The following is a 16,937-nucleotide window of genomic DNA, read 5'->3' on the forward strand; positions in this document are numbered from 1 at the left end:
CTGTAATCCCAGCTACTCAGGAGGCTGAGGCAGGAGACTCGCTTGAAGCCGGGAAGCGGAGGTTGCAGTGAGCCGAGAATGCGCCGCTGCCCTCCAGCCTGGGCCACAAGAGTGAAACTCCGTCTCAATTAAAAAAAAAAAAAAAAAGTATGTTCTACCTCCTTTTATTTTAAAGTCTGCTTGAAGTGTGGAGTCAGCAACAACTCCAAGGTTTGGCTTTTGAGATGAGAATTCTCCGTGCAGATGCAAAGAGGAAAAGAATTCTGCCCCCTCCCAGTAATGCTGGGAAACCTGGAGTCCGCGCTGTGACTCACCGAATGACGCCTGGAGAGTGCAGGCGCCCCGCCAGTCAGGGAGACAGGACTTCCCTCACTGGGCTGAAGATAGCCCCTGAAGTTAGGCACAGTCACCGGCGAAATATCTTTATGGCAGAAATGTGTTTCCTGCCCGTCTAACTTAGGTACTTCCCTCTGCAGCCAGCGTAATCTTTCTAGAACACGTGTACCGGTAATTACTGCTTCCACCCCCAGTTCTAGGCAAAGAGCAAGGCCGTTGCGCTCGTCTGCCTCGGAAAGGTATGAGTTACCCACTAGGAAGTCGAGCAAGGGCAGAGAACCTATCTCTTGTTTTCCTGAAGCCTCCCTGGCTCCGGGGTGTTCTGCTAGGGGAAGGGAGAGAATGAGGCCTTTGAGGGCCTGAGAGAGGGGCCAGGAAGGTAGGTCCCAGAGGCCCAGGTCTCTTGACCGTGGAGACCAGCGCTCTCGGCCCGTGACTCACGGGAAACCCGAGCCTGCAGTTGCTTCTTTCCAGGGGTTTCTACTTAGAAATATTAGCAGCCCAGCCCTCATTGTCCAAAGCCCCCAAGACTTGCCACCAGGGTTCTGTGAGTCCCAAGATGGGTGGCAGAGCCTCTCTCCTGGCCAGTGTTGGATGGGATGAGGCTCAGAGTCGGATTTTACTTGATTCCAAGAAAACAATGAGACAGAATGCGTTGCAGCCCTGGGTTTGTGGACTGCATTTGTGTCCCAAGACTCCTTGTCTCACAGCCTCGGCTGGCATCTCCTCTTCCTGTCTCATGTCTTATCCCCACTCCCATCACTGCTGACCCCTGCCTCAGCAGGCCAAGCTCGTGCTGCCGTCTCTCTCACCCTCAGGCTGTCGCAGGAGTTGTTTCCCCTGCTGGACCTGCTTTCTGTGCAGATTGTGGCTCCTTGCTCTGACCTCCCTTTTTTTTTTTTTTTTTTTTTTTTGAGATGGGGTCTCCGTCTGTCACCCAGGCTGGAGTGCAGTGGCACCATTTTGGCTCACTGCAGCCTTCGCCTCCCTGGCTCAGCGATCCTCCTCACCTCAGCCTCACAAGTAGCTGGGTTCACAGGTGCACACCACAATGCCTGGCGAATTTTTTGTTATTTTTGACAGAGACGGGGTTTTGCCGTGTTGGCCAGGCTGGTCTCAAACTCCTGAGTTCAAGTGATCCACCCGCCTCAACCTCCCAAAATGCTGGGATTACAGGCATGAGCCACTGTGCCTGGCCCTCTGACCACTTCTAAAGGAGCAGCCCCTCCCCACTCCCCCATCCCATTTGTCTGCTTTCTTTAACAGCAGACACCTCTCCAAAAGTATTCATCGGTTACTTGTTTATCATGCATTCTCCTCTTAGACTGTGGGGCCCTTGAGGGCAGGGACCTTGTTTCTTTGGTTTGTCACTGCCCTAAACACAGCTCCTCAGCACCTAATGTCTCACACTCAATGGGCACCAGCTCTTCTGTGGATGAGTGATGGCGAATCTTAACCTACATATGCTTTAAACAGTGGCTCCTCAGTGCCCTCAGACAAGTAAGTGTCAACTGTGCAGCAGACCTCTCAGATCCAGGCAGCATGTCCCTGCTCACCACTAGGCCCATCTCAGCAGTCCAGGTGGACATCCCCTGGAGCCTCTGTCACTCCCCCTGTAAGTATGGTTTCATCAATCTGAGACACTTGTCCCTCTGCGTCCGTTCCTCACGCCTTTCACTGAGCGGCTCACAATGGTGTAGCCTTTGACCCCAGGACATTCCTCAGCAGCATCCTAACTTCATCATTACCCTACACTTCCGCTTCCCACACTTCAACCTGGTGTCCAGGTTTCTACTGGGCTATTTGCAGTATTGCAGATACACCTTTAGCCACGTGGCTGAGGCCATTTTTAGACTGCTGACCCATGCAGGCTTTGTGGGAGACTAAGGGACTTCTTTAGCAACCTAGCAAGAAGACCGTGCATGATGATATGAATTTTTTTGGTGTCCTTGAGGGCAAATTTTATTTGCAGAAGACACTACACAGAAACTAATGTTCATTTTTAAAATTAATGTTTAATGTATATAATTTACAAAATCAAACTTAGTTCTTCCGTAAGTTTTTAAAAACAGTTTACAAATATTTCTTCTAGCAGCCTAACTATATATCTAATAATCGTTTTTACAGGGCCCTCATTCAGTATTTGCCGAGTACTTCAACAGCTAATAAACTCACTATTGAGGTGAGCCTGTTGAAATTTCCAATACTGCACATAAACAGGAAGATTTCAACTCAGAATCAACTCTCATTCAATTTCACACTTACCAATTTTAAATTGGAGTTGTGAGGTTGTGTTCTAATAAGCCAAATCCTCTAAAATACTCAAATATGCCCATTCTTAACACAATAGTACTAATGATATAGTTTTGAGTCTTTTATCCCAGATCCTCCAAATCATTTCATGGTTGAAAAACAGGTTCTGGTTAAGCAAAACAGGTCACAGAGGTTTCTATGGCCTCAGTAAAATAGGTGCCAGAGAACTTGGAAATAGAGGAAGACCAGATTAGAGGTCAAGACTTAGCCAACATTTAGCCAGACACACCCCAAAACATAAGTCAAGAAGGGCCTGCCCCTGGACAAGCAGGGCAAAATACGTGCTCTTTACAGATAATTTACTACCAAGACGAAGAGTATGCCCAGTTTTCTTCCCAAATTTGCCAGTCATGTTGTTTCTCTTCTCAGAGGCAGAATGAATATAAAGGCAGAGAAAGACCCATGGTACACTAAATGATTTCCTACCCAGGAAGGAGCATCAGGTTTAGGGAGACGTTGTTCTCCGTTCCAAGTGATACACATTACCTACGTCTTCCCAACTTTTCAGAGAAGTCTGCCCTTTCCACCCAGGTCAATGAGTGGATTGGATTTTGCATATCTTTGATTCTTAAGATATGTTTTTGTCTTTTTCAGCCGGGCACGGTGGCTCACGCCTGTAATCCCAGCACTTTGGGAGGCCGAGGCGGGCAGATCACTTGAGGTCAGGAGTTCAAGACCAGCCTGGCCAACATGGTGAAACCCCATCTCTACAAAAATACAAAAATTAGCCAGGCATGATGGCAGGTGCCTGTAATCCCAGCTACTCGGGAGGCTGAGGCAAGGGAATCACTTGAACCTGGGAGGCAGAGGTTGCACTGAGTCGAGACGTGCCACTGCACTCCAGCCTGGGCAATAGAGTGAGACTCCGTCTAAAAAAAAAAGACATATTTTTGTCTTTTTCTCTAAGTACCCTTTGGTGAAATTCTCAAATATGGAAATAAGTCTGTTTTGAATATCAGGTTCAAGAACTTTGAATCTAATTGAATTGACCCTTGTATTTTTTTCATGTTCTAAGAATCATACAACTGTTCTAAAATAATACCATGCAGAATTTGAGTTATCTCAGATGGCTTTGCCTAACTAGTGGCCACAACTTTGAGGTCTTTCTATGGAAGCCTGTTTCCATTGAGGATTTCCAGGGGCCTTTATTCTCAGGAGTTTGTCATGGCAGACCACAGGCCCAGCTTTCCTAGTCTCCCCTTCCACCCCTATTTGGTCCCTTCATTTTTTAATGGCTAACAATAAAGACCTGAAGTAATTGTAGCTTGAACAACTAGAGATTGTTTGTTCTCACATAACTTGAATTCTGAAAATACATAGACCAGATCTGGAATGGGGGCTCTACATTGTCACCAGGAAGCAGGCTTTCCTTTTGCTCTGCTGTCCTAAAATTTGTCTCATGGTCTCAAGATGCCTTCTGGAGCCCCAACCATCATATTTGCTTTCCAAGAAGGAAGAAGGAGATTAGTGTAAAAATTATATACCTCCAAGTCAAGTCAGCCTTCAGGAAGCCCATCCAACAATTGTTTATGTCTCATTGGCTACCACTGTTTGCAAGAGTGACAAGGAATTAGCAACTGAATAAAATTCAGGATTGTTAGTAAGTAGGGAGAGAATGAAGAAGGGGAGAATGATTGGCCCAAGCCATCTCCACTATGCATGGGTGCCTATAGCATCCTAAACACTTGCCATTCATAGTGTTTATCACTCCGTGTTGTGATTGCCTGATACTTGGCTGTATATACCCACACCAGAATGACGTTGTATGTCCAGCTTGAAAGTGCAGAGGCAGTCCCTGGCACAGCCAGAAAAGCACTGATTCTAGACAGAGTGGCAGGTAAAGAAGGATGAGGTTTCGTGATTATCAAAAGGGGCATGACTTAAAATGATCTAGATGAAGTTAGCTAATTGCGATTTCTGAGGTTCTTGGTTTTGAAGATGTATATATGTGTTGGATAACTTCACATGTTAATAGTGGTCTTTTTATCTGTGTAATAGAATTTCTCATTTAATGCAGTTAGATTTCTCTCTTTGGCTGAATTTCTCTAGAAAAGATCAATATTCTCTAGTTTCTCTGTGCTATTTGAAGGTGGAATAAATTATTTCTTTTAAGCCAAAAACCATATACAATCCATAACTGGACCAGTTTGTTGAAACTTCGTTGATTAGTCTGCAGTGACTCTCATCCCTGAACAAGAGGCTCAGCCTTGAGATTTTTCCATATTAAAATCATAGACCACAGACTCTTCTCTCTGGTTTCTGAAGCAGTCTCGCAGGACAGCAAGACATGTGAATCATACATGTAATTTAAAATTTTCTGGTAGCCACATTAAAAAAGTAAAAAGAAACATGTAGAATTAATTTGAATAATATATTTTCTTTAACCCAATATATCCGAATTAGCAGTTTAACATATAACTTATATAAAAATTACCAATGGCACATTTTTCATTCTCTTGTTTTGGTATTATTTGAAATCTAGTGTATGTTTAACAGCACATCCAAATGTGGACTAGCTACATTTCAAGTGCTCAGTAGCCACGTGTGGCTAGTAGACAGCACAGATCTGGTAACGTGGTATAACAGGACTTATACCATGTTAACACATTTGGTCACTTATTATCTTATTGATCTCCTGTCTGGTCGTTCTACACATTATTGACAATTGGGTATTGCAGTTTCCAACTATTATTGTTGTATTGTCTATTTCTCCCTTCAATTACGTCAGTTTTTGCTTAATATATTCTGGAGCTCTTGTTAGGTGCATATATGTATATAATTCTTAAATCTTCTTGATGAATGACCCTTTTATAATTATAAAATATCTTTGTCTCTAGTAGCAATTAGTACCTTAAAAACTATTTTGTTTGATATTAGTATAACCACTTCAGCTCTCTTTTGTTTACTCTTTGCATGGTATGTCTTTTTATATCTTCTTACTTTTAACCTATTTATATCTTTGACTCTAAAGTGTATCTCTTGTGGGCACCATATGGTTGGATCATGTTTTCTAATCCATGCTACCAATCTCTGCCTTTTAATTACAGAAATTTTAATCCATTACTTTTAATGTAATTATTGATAAGGAAGGATTTATATCTGCTATTTTGCTTTGTGTTTGCTATTTGTCTTTTGTCTTTTTTTTCTATTTCTCCTTTACTGCCCCTTTCTTCTTTACATTAAAGACATTTTGTCATGTACCATTTTAATTCTCTTGTCATTTCTTTTACTATGTGTTCTTATAAGTTATTTTCTGAGCAGTTGCCCTGGGGATTATGATTAACATCTTAAGTTATAACAATCTAGTTTTGATTACTACCATTTAATTTCAGTTGTATGCAAGAACTTTGTTTCTATGTATCTCCATTTCCTCTCTCCTCCTTTGGGATGTTATTGTCTTACAAGTTACATCTTTATGCTTTGTGTGCCCATCACATAGACTTATAATTACTGCTTTATGCAGTTGTCTTTCAAATCAGATAGGTGGGGAAAAAAGAGTTACAAACAAAAAATATATTGATACTGTCTTTTATGTTTATCTCATTAGCTACCTTTATGAGTGCTCTTTACTTATTCATGTGGATTCAGGTTACCATCTAGTGTCCTTTTATTTCAGCCTAAAGAACTCCCTTTAGTATTCTCATAGGGGAGGTTTGGTTACAAATGACAGAAATCAAATTTAAACTAGCTCAGGTGAAAAAAAAAAAAAAGAAAATACTGGGGAGAAGGCTCAGATACCTGAAAGCCTCGGGATACCATGGCTTTAGGCAAGTCCAAGTGCAGGAAATGGTCTCTTGCTTGCAGCTCTTTGGTACTCTGCATGGCCATAATCTCAGGGAGCCCTCCACTACACCAGGCTCACATGTCAATCTCAGCAGGAAGAGATCATCACTATTCAGATAGCTAGGAGTCCCAGATAAGACTCCCACTGGCCCAGACTGGAAGTCAATCCTCCCAAGTCATGGGGACAGAGTGGGGGAGCAGTGGATCCCCAAAAGAAATACAGAGATTAGCAGAAAAAGGGCTTAGGATAAAGCACAAGTAAAAGCTAAAGGTCTTCACTAGATATGCTTCAGAAAAAGTTTCAGCTTTATTAAGTGTTCTCTTTAGAAACCCACTTCCACACAAACTAGAACAACTGGAAATCCACGTGTTAGAAATATTTAAATATTGTTTATTTGAGGCCTCACAATTTTTTTCTGGTCTGACATGTTAAAAATTCTTCCTAATGTAATCTGGTAAATCAGTCAAGGTGTAGTCCTGGTCAGGTTTAGTGGCTCATGCTTATAATCCCAGCACTTTGGGAGGTTGAGGCAGGAGGATCACTTGAGCCCAAGAGTTTATGACCAGCCTGGGCAACATAGTAGGACTACGCCTCTACAAAAAGTAAAAGATTAACTGGATGTGGTGGTGCACATCTGTAGTCCCAGTTACTTAGGAGGCTGAGGCAGGAGGATCACTTGAGCCTGGGCAGTTGAGGCTGCAGTGAGCAGTGATCATGTCACTGCACACCAGCCTGGGGGACAGAGTTAGACCATGTCTCAAAAAAAAAAGACAAAAAAAGAAGAAGTATTCTTTTAGCTAAAATATGAAAAGAACATCTATGAAGGCCAGTTCGAATCTCAAGTATGTAACATATTTTCTTAGGATAAAAAATGTATTTTGAGTTTTAATAAAGGGCATGATAAATATCATCCATAAACAATGATTTATTCCTCAATTGCTACATGTTGTACTATTATTCCAAGCTATTCATAATTCATAAATGAGTAATGCAATAATAATTTTCTATAGTTTTGTTTGTTTGTTTGTTTGTGACGGAGTTTCACTCTTGTTGCCCAGGCTGGAGTACAAAGGCGCGATCTCGGCTCACCGCAACCTCCGACTCCCAGGTTCAAGTGATTCTCAAGCCTCAGCCTCCTGAGTAGCTGGGATTACAGGCATGTGCCACCGTGCCCAGCTAATTTTGTATTTTTAGTAGAGATGGGGTTTTGCCATGTTGGCCAGGCTGGTCTCGAACTCCTGACCTCAGGTGCTCCGCCTGCCTTTGCCTCCCAAAGTGCTGGAATTACAGGCGTGAGCCACCGCGCCTGGCCAGTTTTTTATTTCCTTTATCCAGTTACATACTAGGTACTAAAAATGGGCAACCAAAAATGTAAGAACTCTATCAGGTCCAATACTTGAGATTCAGGGAACCTATGAAAAAGGATTACTGATTTTTAAGTTCTCAGCATAGAATACAAGAAATTGTGTTTAATGTTCCTTCTATTTGATGTGAGTCTAATCATGTATTCACTGCCTTTGGATAGAGTCCAAGATTATGTTCTGTGTTTTCTTAACTAATTTGAATTTGCCCCTTATTTAAGTGGATTTTTCTACTGGATTTTTGCAGAGATTTTCTTCTGGATACTGCTAGTAGATTCTTCCAGTTTGGGTTTTTGTTGTTGTTGTTGTTTTTGAGAGAATCAATTAGGGTGTTGATAATTAAACTTTTAAAATCCATTACTATTGGTATTTGAGGGGTAAAGCATAAATTGGTAGACTGTGCCTAAATTGGTTGTGGGGTACAGACAATTACTGACGGGAAACTGTGGGCATTTCTAAATGTTTTATCAGCGGGGCAATTTTATTCTGAGGCTCTCTCAGCACGATAAATGTGTGTTTATGAGTTGCTGGTCAAATGAAATCGGTAGTCACTAAGGCAGTAATGATACCCAGAGATGATTTTATAGTAGCTAAAGACTTTGGCAGAGTAGCATTCTGATGTCTTTGACTCCAATGGCTAAAGTTTTAATTTCTAGTGTACGTATGGTGGCCTCTTTCCACGTGTTTTATACTTTTGGAGTGTAAGCTTGTGCTCAGTGGGGCTTTGTCTGGGTAATTTCTAGGAGACTTGAGCTGTGGATATATAGTTTTTAGGAGGATTTTTATTTGCTTCTACAGCTGTTTCAGGGGGTTACCAGCCCAGAAACCCTTGATGTTAATTTCTCAGTTTACAGGAGTCAGTATAAATTGGTAGGATACATTTTTGAACTCCAGAATAGCATGAAGGCATGAACTTTCATGATCGTGAACTTTCAGGGAAACATTTGCTCTATCCAGAGCCATACCAACACAGTTGTTTGTCATTTGTTCTATTATTGTCAGAAAGAGAATTTTTTCCAGTCCACCCTTTTATCAAGAATCTCAGCTCCATGGGAGGTGAGAGAAGGCCTCTAAACAACAATCTCTACCTTCCACAGGCCAACGCCTCGTAACAGTGTCATTCTGACTTTCAGCTTCAGCATCAGACTTCTTTCTTTTCTTAATCTGGGGAATTTCCTTAATTATTTACAAGCCCAACTGCATATTAAAAGAAAAAAAAAAAGGTTTGGGGCTGGGTGAGATGGCTCATGCCATGCCTGTAGTCCCAGCCCTTTGGGAGAGTGAGGCATGAGGATCAATTGAGTCCATGAGTTTAAGACCAGTCTGGACAACATAGTGAGACATCATCTCTAGAAAAAATAAAATTAGCCAGGTGTGGTTGCACATGCCTTGTAGTCCTAGCTATTCAGGAGGTTAAGGTGGGAGGATTGCTTGATTCCAGGTATTTGAGGCTGTAGTGAGCTATGATGATGCCACTGCACTCCATCCTGGGCAATAGAGCAAGACCCTATCTCAAAAAAATATATATATTTGGTTATATTTTGTCGGCATTTCTTATTATTTTTTTATCTGGAACTTTCCCAGGCAATCTAGTCTGCTGAAATACTAGGGACATCTGAACATTTACTTTTCAATATAAATACATTATATATTAGCAATGTCAGGAATTCAGAGAAGAAGGGTGGCAAGATTCCAAGTGTGTAGTAGACATTAGCTGGAGCAACTTCCTTCTCACTATGACCTCTCAGTGGCCTCTTCTATGCTGTAACAACCCTGCATCCCAGCACAGCTGGGATCAAGACATTCACTTGACCTAAGCCAAGACAGCTCATCTCTGTCTCGAGAATGTGTAACTTGAAGACAGTTACCCAGGAGGCCAGTCACTTAATGACACCATTCTGGAGAAGAGTTCTACCAACAGATTCTCTGGAGCTGATCTTCTCTTTGTCCTCCCCAATTTGATTCTTAGACTTCCCACAAAAATCTTCCAATTAAATGTGCTTTCTTGCTTAAGAATCTATTTCTGTTGTTGCATCCAGAAGAACACCAATAATAAATTGCTTACAAAATGCATTTAAAATCAGGTGAGGGATATTAAAACATGTTATAAATGCTATAGTAATTAATATGAACAGACATTTTTATGGTAGAGATAAGTATAGAAATAGTTCCAAATGCATAAAGCATGAGGTATAAGATAAAGTGGTCCTGCACACCAGTGGGAACTGTAATTAAATAAATGTGGGAATGACTGGGTAACCACCTGAAAGACAATGAAGCTGGAATCATACCTCACACCTTGTACCAACATAAATCTCAATATCAATCAAACATTTCAATGCAAAAAACTAAACCACAAAATACCCAAAAAAGAGAAAACTTTTTTAGTCTCTATGTGGGAAAGGCCTTTTGAATTACAATTTTAAAAAATCTAAAAGCATTTATTGGCTTTTAGAGAGGATTGATACATTTTACTATAAAACTAAAATTTTAATTTGGGAATGAAAAACACACCCTAAACAATGAAAATGACAAATGAGAAATTGTACAATATATTCTTGATAAGTCAGTAAGATAAAGAACAACCTGATTTATAAAAATAGATAGACTAGTCACAGACCAGGAAATGCCAATGGCCATTAAACACATAAGATTCTCCACCTTTCTCAAAATGTGAGAACTGCAAATTAGAACAGGGACACAGAATAAAAAGATGGAGATGCCATTTTTCATCTATCAAATTGACAGTGATCAACATTTCTCATCTGTCAAATTGACAATCATCAAATAACGCCTAACCTAGGGGAGGTTGTGGGAAGCGGTCCCACTGTTTATGGGAATGTAACTTTCCACAGCCTCTGTGGGGAGAGGGGTGCCTTGGCATATACGCGTTGACCCAGCGGTTTCAAGTCTAGGAGCTGATCCTGTAGAATCATCTTACACTGTGAGAAATGATCCATTGTGGCATCGTCATGGCAAAATTTCGTTGTTGTTGTTGTTTCTTTTTTCTTTTTTCTTTCTTTCTTTATTTTTGAGACAGAGTTTCACTCTTGTCACTTATGCTAGAGTGCAGTGGCGTGATCTTGGCTCACTGCAACCTCCACCTCCTGGGTTCAAGCGATTCTCCTGCCTCAGCCTCCTGAGTAGCTGGGATTACAAGCACGTGCCACCATGCCTGGCTAAATTTTTTTTGTGTTTTTAGCAGAGATGGGGTTTCACCATGTTGGCCATACTGGTCTCAAATGCCTGACCTCAGGTGATCCACCTGCGTTGGCCTCCCGAAGTACTAGGATTACAGGCATGAGGCACCATGTCCGGCCATGGCAAAATTTTGGACCTAAATGTCCAACCATGGTAGCTAATAAAATTATATACATTCTTATAATGGAATATGATGGATGGATAGAAATTATCTCTTAAGAAATATTGTTAACAGAAAAAAACAAGGTACAGAAGTATGTACACATATAGTCTGGCATTTGTTTAAAACAAGAAAAAGAGAAAAAATTGTGTACATATTTGCTTGTATGCAAATAAGATACCTGGAAGAATTCACAAGAAAATAAAAACACTGGCTGCCTCCAGGGAGGGAAAACGGGAGCTGAGAAACAGGCATGCGTAGGAAGAGACTTTACACAGTGCACCCTTTTGTAGCTTTGATTTTTATTTTTTTGAGATGGAGTCTCATTTTGTCACCTAGGCTGGAGTGCAGTGGCGCAATCTTGGCTCACTGCAGCCTCCACCTCCTGGATTCACGTGATTCTCCTGCCTCAGCCTCCCCGGTAGCTGGGATTAGAGGCACATGCCACCACGCCCAGCTAATTTTTGTATTTTTAGTAGAGACGGGGTTTCACCATGTGGGCCAAGCTGTTCTCAAACCCCTGACCTAAAGTGATCCTCCCGCCTCGGCCTCCCAAAGTGCTGGGATTACAGGTGTGAGCCACTGCACCAGGCCTGTAGCTTTGAGTTTTGAGCCATGAGAATGTACTACCTTTTCAAAAAGTAAACATTTAAACTAAAAAGACACTTTTATCTTAAAACTTTTTTCCTAAAAAAATCAGGTTAAATGGGAGAGAATGACATTAAAAACCAGGACAGCTGTGTGAAGGGCCAGGATAGGGGTTCCATGGGAGCTGGAAGGAGAGGCCCCTAATGCTGCTGGGGAGGCCCTTCAAAGAGGAAGAGACTTCTTGGCTGGGCGCAGTGGCTCAAACCTGTAATGCCAGCACTTTGGGAGGCTGAGGCGGATGGATCACTTGAGGCCAGGAGTTTGAGCCCAGCCTGGCCAACATGGCAAAGCCCCGTCTTTACTAAAAATACAAAAATTAGCGGGGCATGGTGGCTCTGGGACCTGTAGTCCCAGCTACTCGGGAGGCTGAGGCTTGAGAATCACTTGAACCTGGGAGGTGGAGGTTGCAGTGAGTCAAGATCACGTCACTGCACTCCAGCCTGGGCAAAAGAGTGAGACTGTCTCAGAAAAAAAATAGAAAAAAAAAAAAAAAAAAGAGGAGGAGACTTCTGAAAGAAAGGTCCTCACAATTTTGCAGCACTTTGGTTATCAGTGCCCAGAAAATGGGTTCATATGAAGGTCTAGATACTCAGTTTCTGATGAAAATGTTAGCACGCTGTGGGAACAAAACGCTGTTGCCCTAACTGGAAACTCCCACTGCTGCTGATCTATCATGTTTTGGATGGACAACGACAGATTCTGTTCTCAAACTCTACCAAATAGTTTCCACAGAGGGGCTTAGGTTGGAGCAGGAAAATTTCAGGACAGATAATCCTATAGTTTGTGCCTTCTCCTACCATGAAATTTCCTTCTTTTTCCTTATAGAGGAGTTCAAGAGTGCAAATTCAGTTCATAGCATTCAAACAGCTGCATTCCAGCTCCCTTAAACTAATCAGAACCAGTAAGAATACCAGCAAGGAACTCCAAGCCTTGGTTTTTAAATTACATGAGAATAGTTTTGAAGAGTGTATTTTAATCACATAAAACACACTAACAAACGGCTCTCATCTGTTGCCACGTTTCTAATGTGTGAAACGGCTTCTCTGCATGGCTTTCCTCTGTCCCCCGTGCCTCCTGCCCCCATCACAGGGCCTCCATTACATTCCCGACTTGGAATTTCCTTGCAGTTGCCAGCTATACAGAGTCCGATAGGTTTGGCAGGGCCAGCACTCCCGGATGAGGAGGAGGGAGCCTTAGCCATGTAATCATCTAAAGGTGACTGTTAATTTATTAAAGCGAACTTGTCTATCAGAGTGTTTACAACTCTCCGTTTTGTGACTATTCTGAACAGACATACCAGATTGCCTCTGAGGACCCATTCTACACAAGCACAGACTGTAGGACAAAAGAGCTCATTCCAACAGCGCCCAGAGCACCGCCACGCCGGCCACCCCTGGGGCCAGTGGCAGGGTGCCAGGCGTGTTCACGCTCTGAGGCTCCAGAAATTAATCTGACCTCTTGAAAGAACACATTCCTACTGACTAGGAATCTTGAATGAAATTCAAGCAGTGCAGGTGTTCAGCAATTCTGAAGACAAAATTCAGACAGCAGAGCTGCTGCCTTCTCTGGCAGATGGAGGAGTGTCCGTGAAGGAGGGCCCTTCGCACCCCATGGAGCTCCTGATGTCCGTGCCTTTATCAGAGACTCTCCTCCTCCTCTCTTTGATTGCTCTTTTTTTTTTTTCCTTTTTTCCCTTTTTTAAGAGACAGAGTCTCGCTCTGTCGCCCAAGCAGCTGGACTGCCCTGGCCTGATCTCGACTCACTGCAACCTCCACCTCCCAGGTTCAAGCAATTCAAATGCCTCAACCTCCAAAATAGCTGGGATTACCGGCGTCTGCCACCATGCCTGGCTGATTTTTAAATATTTTTATTAGAGACAGGGTTTGCATTATTGCCTAGGCTGGTCTTGAACTCCTGAGCTCAGGCAATCCACCCGCTTTGGCCTCCCAAAGTGCTAGGATTACAGGCAAGAGCCACTGTACCCGGCCCTCTCTTTGATTTCCAGATAAAAAGAAAAACTTCTACTGAAGGTGGGGAAAGGAAAAAACTATTTTCATTTAATGCTTGATTCTCCCCATGATAAGGGTCTGTATGATGGACTGAAAAACAACCACCCATGATTTAATCATTTGGCAAATCCAGATATTTCTGCTGGGAACCAGGAGCAGTGAGCAGGCAGGCCTGGCAGGCGGGGCAGGCTCTGCTCTGGGCCAGGCACAGACAGCCTCGGGCTGCACAAGGTGGGGCGCCCCTGTTCACCAGCGTGGAACTGCATCCTCTTCTACCATTCAGGTTTTCGTTGTGTTTCTTATCTTTATTACTTATGGTGGGGACACTGCCAGCTCTTTCTTTTAAGGGGCCCCACTCCCATGTCCAGGCCACCGGCACTGCCAGGCTAACACCAAGTAACCCACACTGCCTGGCTAATTGGGCTGGGAGCACAGGTATCCCAAGACAGTCCCATAGCCTGGGCTGTTCATGAGGCTGGGCACAAACACAGGTGGGCCATGGATATTCCCTTGTGGGTGTTGGAACCAGAAGCCCCTGGGAGAATGACAAGACCAGAAGCAGGACCTCAGCTGAAAGATTCCAGTTGTACTAGGAGGGCCAGGGTGGCCCTGCCAGGTCCTGTGCAGGCCAAAATTGTGAAGGGAAGAAAATCTAAGTAGAAGCTGTGAGCAAGAGAAACAATCCAGAAAGGTGAGGAAGCTGGTCAGCCACAGAGCAGAGCAAAGCCATCACACAGGCTCCTTCTGAGGCCTCTAGACCTGCCTTGATTCCAGAGTAATCTTCAGTCCTGACTATTCGTGGCTTTTCCTTATCATTGTGCAGGTGTTTCCCCTCAATGAGCCTCTCCACTCTTGAGGAATTTCAGTGAGTCTCTGTTAGTTCATGACAGCCTTAAAACCTAAGTAATATCATGTTTCTCTAGCCTTTTCTTTTTTGAGACAGGGTCTTGCTGTCACCCAGGCTGAAATGCAGTGGCACAATCTTGACTCATTGCAACCTCCACCCCCTGAACTCAAATGATCCTCCCACCTCAGCCTCACGAGCAGCTGCAACTACAGGTGATTTTTTATATTTTTTGTAGAGACAGGATTTGGCTGTGTTGCCCAGGCTGGTCTCGAGCTCCTGGACTCAAGTGATCTGCCCACCTTGGCTTTCCACAGTGCTGGGATTACAGGCGTGAGCCACCACATCTGGCCTTCCTTAGCCTTTTTTTTCTGTATACAAAGGTGACTATATACTCTTTCTTCCAATAGTGGATCTAACTGCAATGCTGTATTGTAACTTACTTTTTTTTTTAACTTGACAATATATTGTGAGCATTCTCATAATATTATTAGAACTTTATAGGATTTCCTTGCAAGGTACCCAAACCTCTGAACAGCTATCATCACCATAGTGAAGTCCAATTTGCTGCCAGCCTTACTGAAAGAATGTCATCCGGCACAGAAACCCGCTGCAGAGTCAAATGAAACCTTCAGGTCCACTGCCTTCCCAGGAGCCCACCTGGCCCCTGCCCTGGGTTTTTCTTGCCCGTCCAGCAGGCCCTTGGTGAGTTCCAGCAGTGAGCCAAACACAATTTTTCAATAGAAACATACTGGAACTGTCAAAAGAACATGAAGTGAGCCACCAAAAAGCATGAAGCATAACACAGTTTTATTTGTTCTGTGGCTTTTTTTTTTTTTTGATATGGCGTCTCACTCTGTTGCTCAGGCTGGAGTGCAGTGGCGCAATCTCAGCTCACTGCAACATCCGCCTCCTGGGTTCAAGCAATACTCCTGCCTCAGCCTCCCCAGTAGCTGGGACTACAGATGTCTGCCACCATGCCCAGCTAATTTTTGTATTTTTAGTAGAGACAGGGTTTTGCCATGTTGGCCAGGCTGGTCTTGAACTCCTGACCTTGTGATCTGCCTGCCTTGGCCTCCCAGAGTGCTTGGATTACAGGCATGAGCCACTGTGCCTGGCCATTCTGTGGCATTTTTAAAACAGCAAGTTTGTCATCAAAATAAAAAAACCAAACAGAAACTCTGAGCACTTTGGTATAACTCAAGTGAAGATGACCCTGCATCTCTACTGAACCATCTCACAGGGCTTTCAAGAAATATGGGCCTTTCAAACCACATTTTTGACACATCATGCCTACAATGGCACAGATCACATTCCTGTGGCTTCAAACATCTGCTCCCAAAGCATGTTTCAGTGGTGGCTACAGCCGAGAGGTGCATCAGTGTTACCCCAGTCTTGCACCCAAGGACCCTCACTTGGGGAGCCCCAGGCCCTCCAGAGTCCTGGATCCACGCCTCTTGTGGAGGCACCATCTGTCTCTCGATCCTCCCATAGCCCAGTGGTGTTCCTGAGAGAGCTGTGTGCTGGCCTCTCCCTCTGACCTATGTTGACCTCACCAAGCTCCAGCTACAAGGCTGGCCTCTGTCCTGATGGCTGTTCTCATTGGATGTGGCCAATGCTACTTTGTCGCTATGTCCAAGATCCTTGTCTGGAGTGAACACATTTGGAATTAGGAGTTTCTAAGAAACGTCCATTGTAGTTTGAGCTCTAGCTGTTCATTCTTGGTGGTCAGTAAGTCACTTTTTTGGCTTTGCCTGACAATACATATGACCTCTGAGGCTCAAGTTCTCCACCCACAAAATGAAGCCATTTGTTCCCATGTCATTGTCTGGCTATGAGGCTGGGAGGTTATGGCCTTGGTACTCATAATCACTGGCGTACAGTTCACACTGGTGCTCAGTCCATCTTTATTCCTGCCCTTTCTTCTTTCATAATTTCTCCAGGGTCACGCCAGAGATTGGAGAAGATGAAGATATCAGAAGGTGTAATGCTGGCATTGTTCCATAGCAACGGGCCTTAGGTACATGGCAGAAAAAGAGAGAGAAAAAGTTGTTCCCTTCTCATAGTGTCCCTACCTGGAGTTAGCTGTCAGCCAAAAGCACTTTAATGTATCACGTCCTGGTGGCTACACAGGTTACACAATTGTCAAAACCCATTGGGCTGCACACTTAATACCTATGCATTTTGTTGTATGTTCATTATCTCAACATTTTTTTCAATAAAAAAATTAAACTAGAAAACAATGCTTCATCTGCTAATTAGCACTGTAAGACTAGGTGTA

At 43.3% G+C, this 16,937-nt stretch overlaps 1 long non-coding RNA gene across 2 annotated transcripts, besides 1 other annotated feature; it reads left to right on the plus strand.

Moving 5' to 3' along the window:
- The first annotated feature begins 171 nt into the window (after positions 1-171).
- Positions 172-16,896, plus strand: LOC105371980 (uncharacterized). Of its 2 annotated transcripts, none has more exons than XR_001753550.2 (3): positions 172-575; positions 1,813-1,951; positions 16,600-16,896. It is a non-coding gene; the product is annotated as an uncharacterized LOC105371980 (long non-coding RNA). The 2 variants fall into 2 exon arrangements; XR_935130.3 differs by lacking the exon at positions 16,600-16,896 and adding an exon at positions 3,244-5,852.
- Positions 12,618-13,565: an enhancer, noted in NCBI's record as "H3K4me1 hESC enhancer chr18:9416837-9417784 (GRCh37/hg19 assembly coordinates)". NCBI's record gives its function as "activates a minimal SCP1, AML or CMV promoter by ChIP-STARR-seq in primed H9 embryonic stem cells {active_cell/tissue: H9 hESC(primed)}" and the evidence as "EXISTENCE:reporter gene assay evidence [ECO:0000049][PMID:30033119]".
- Positions 16,897-16,937: the final 41 nt, after the last annotated feature.

Source organism: Homo sapiens, chromosome 18 (assembly GCF_000001405.40).
Source record: "Homo sapiens chromosome 18, GRCh38.p14 Primary Assembly".
Lineage (NCBI taxonomy): Eukaryota > Metazoa > Chordata > Mammalia > Primates > Hominidae > Homo > Homo sapiens.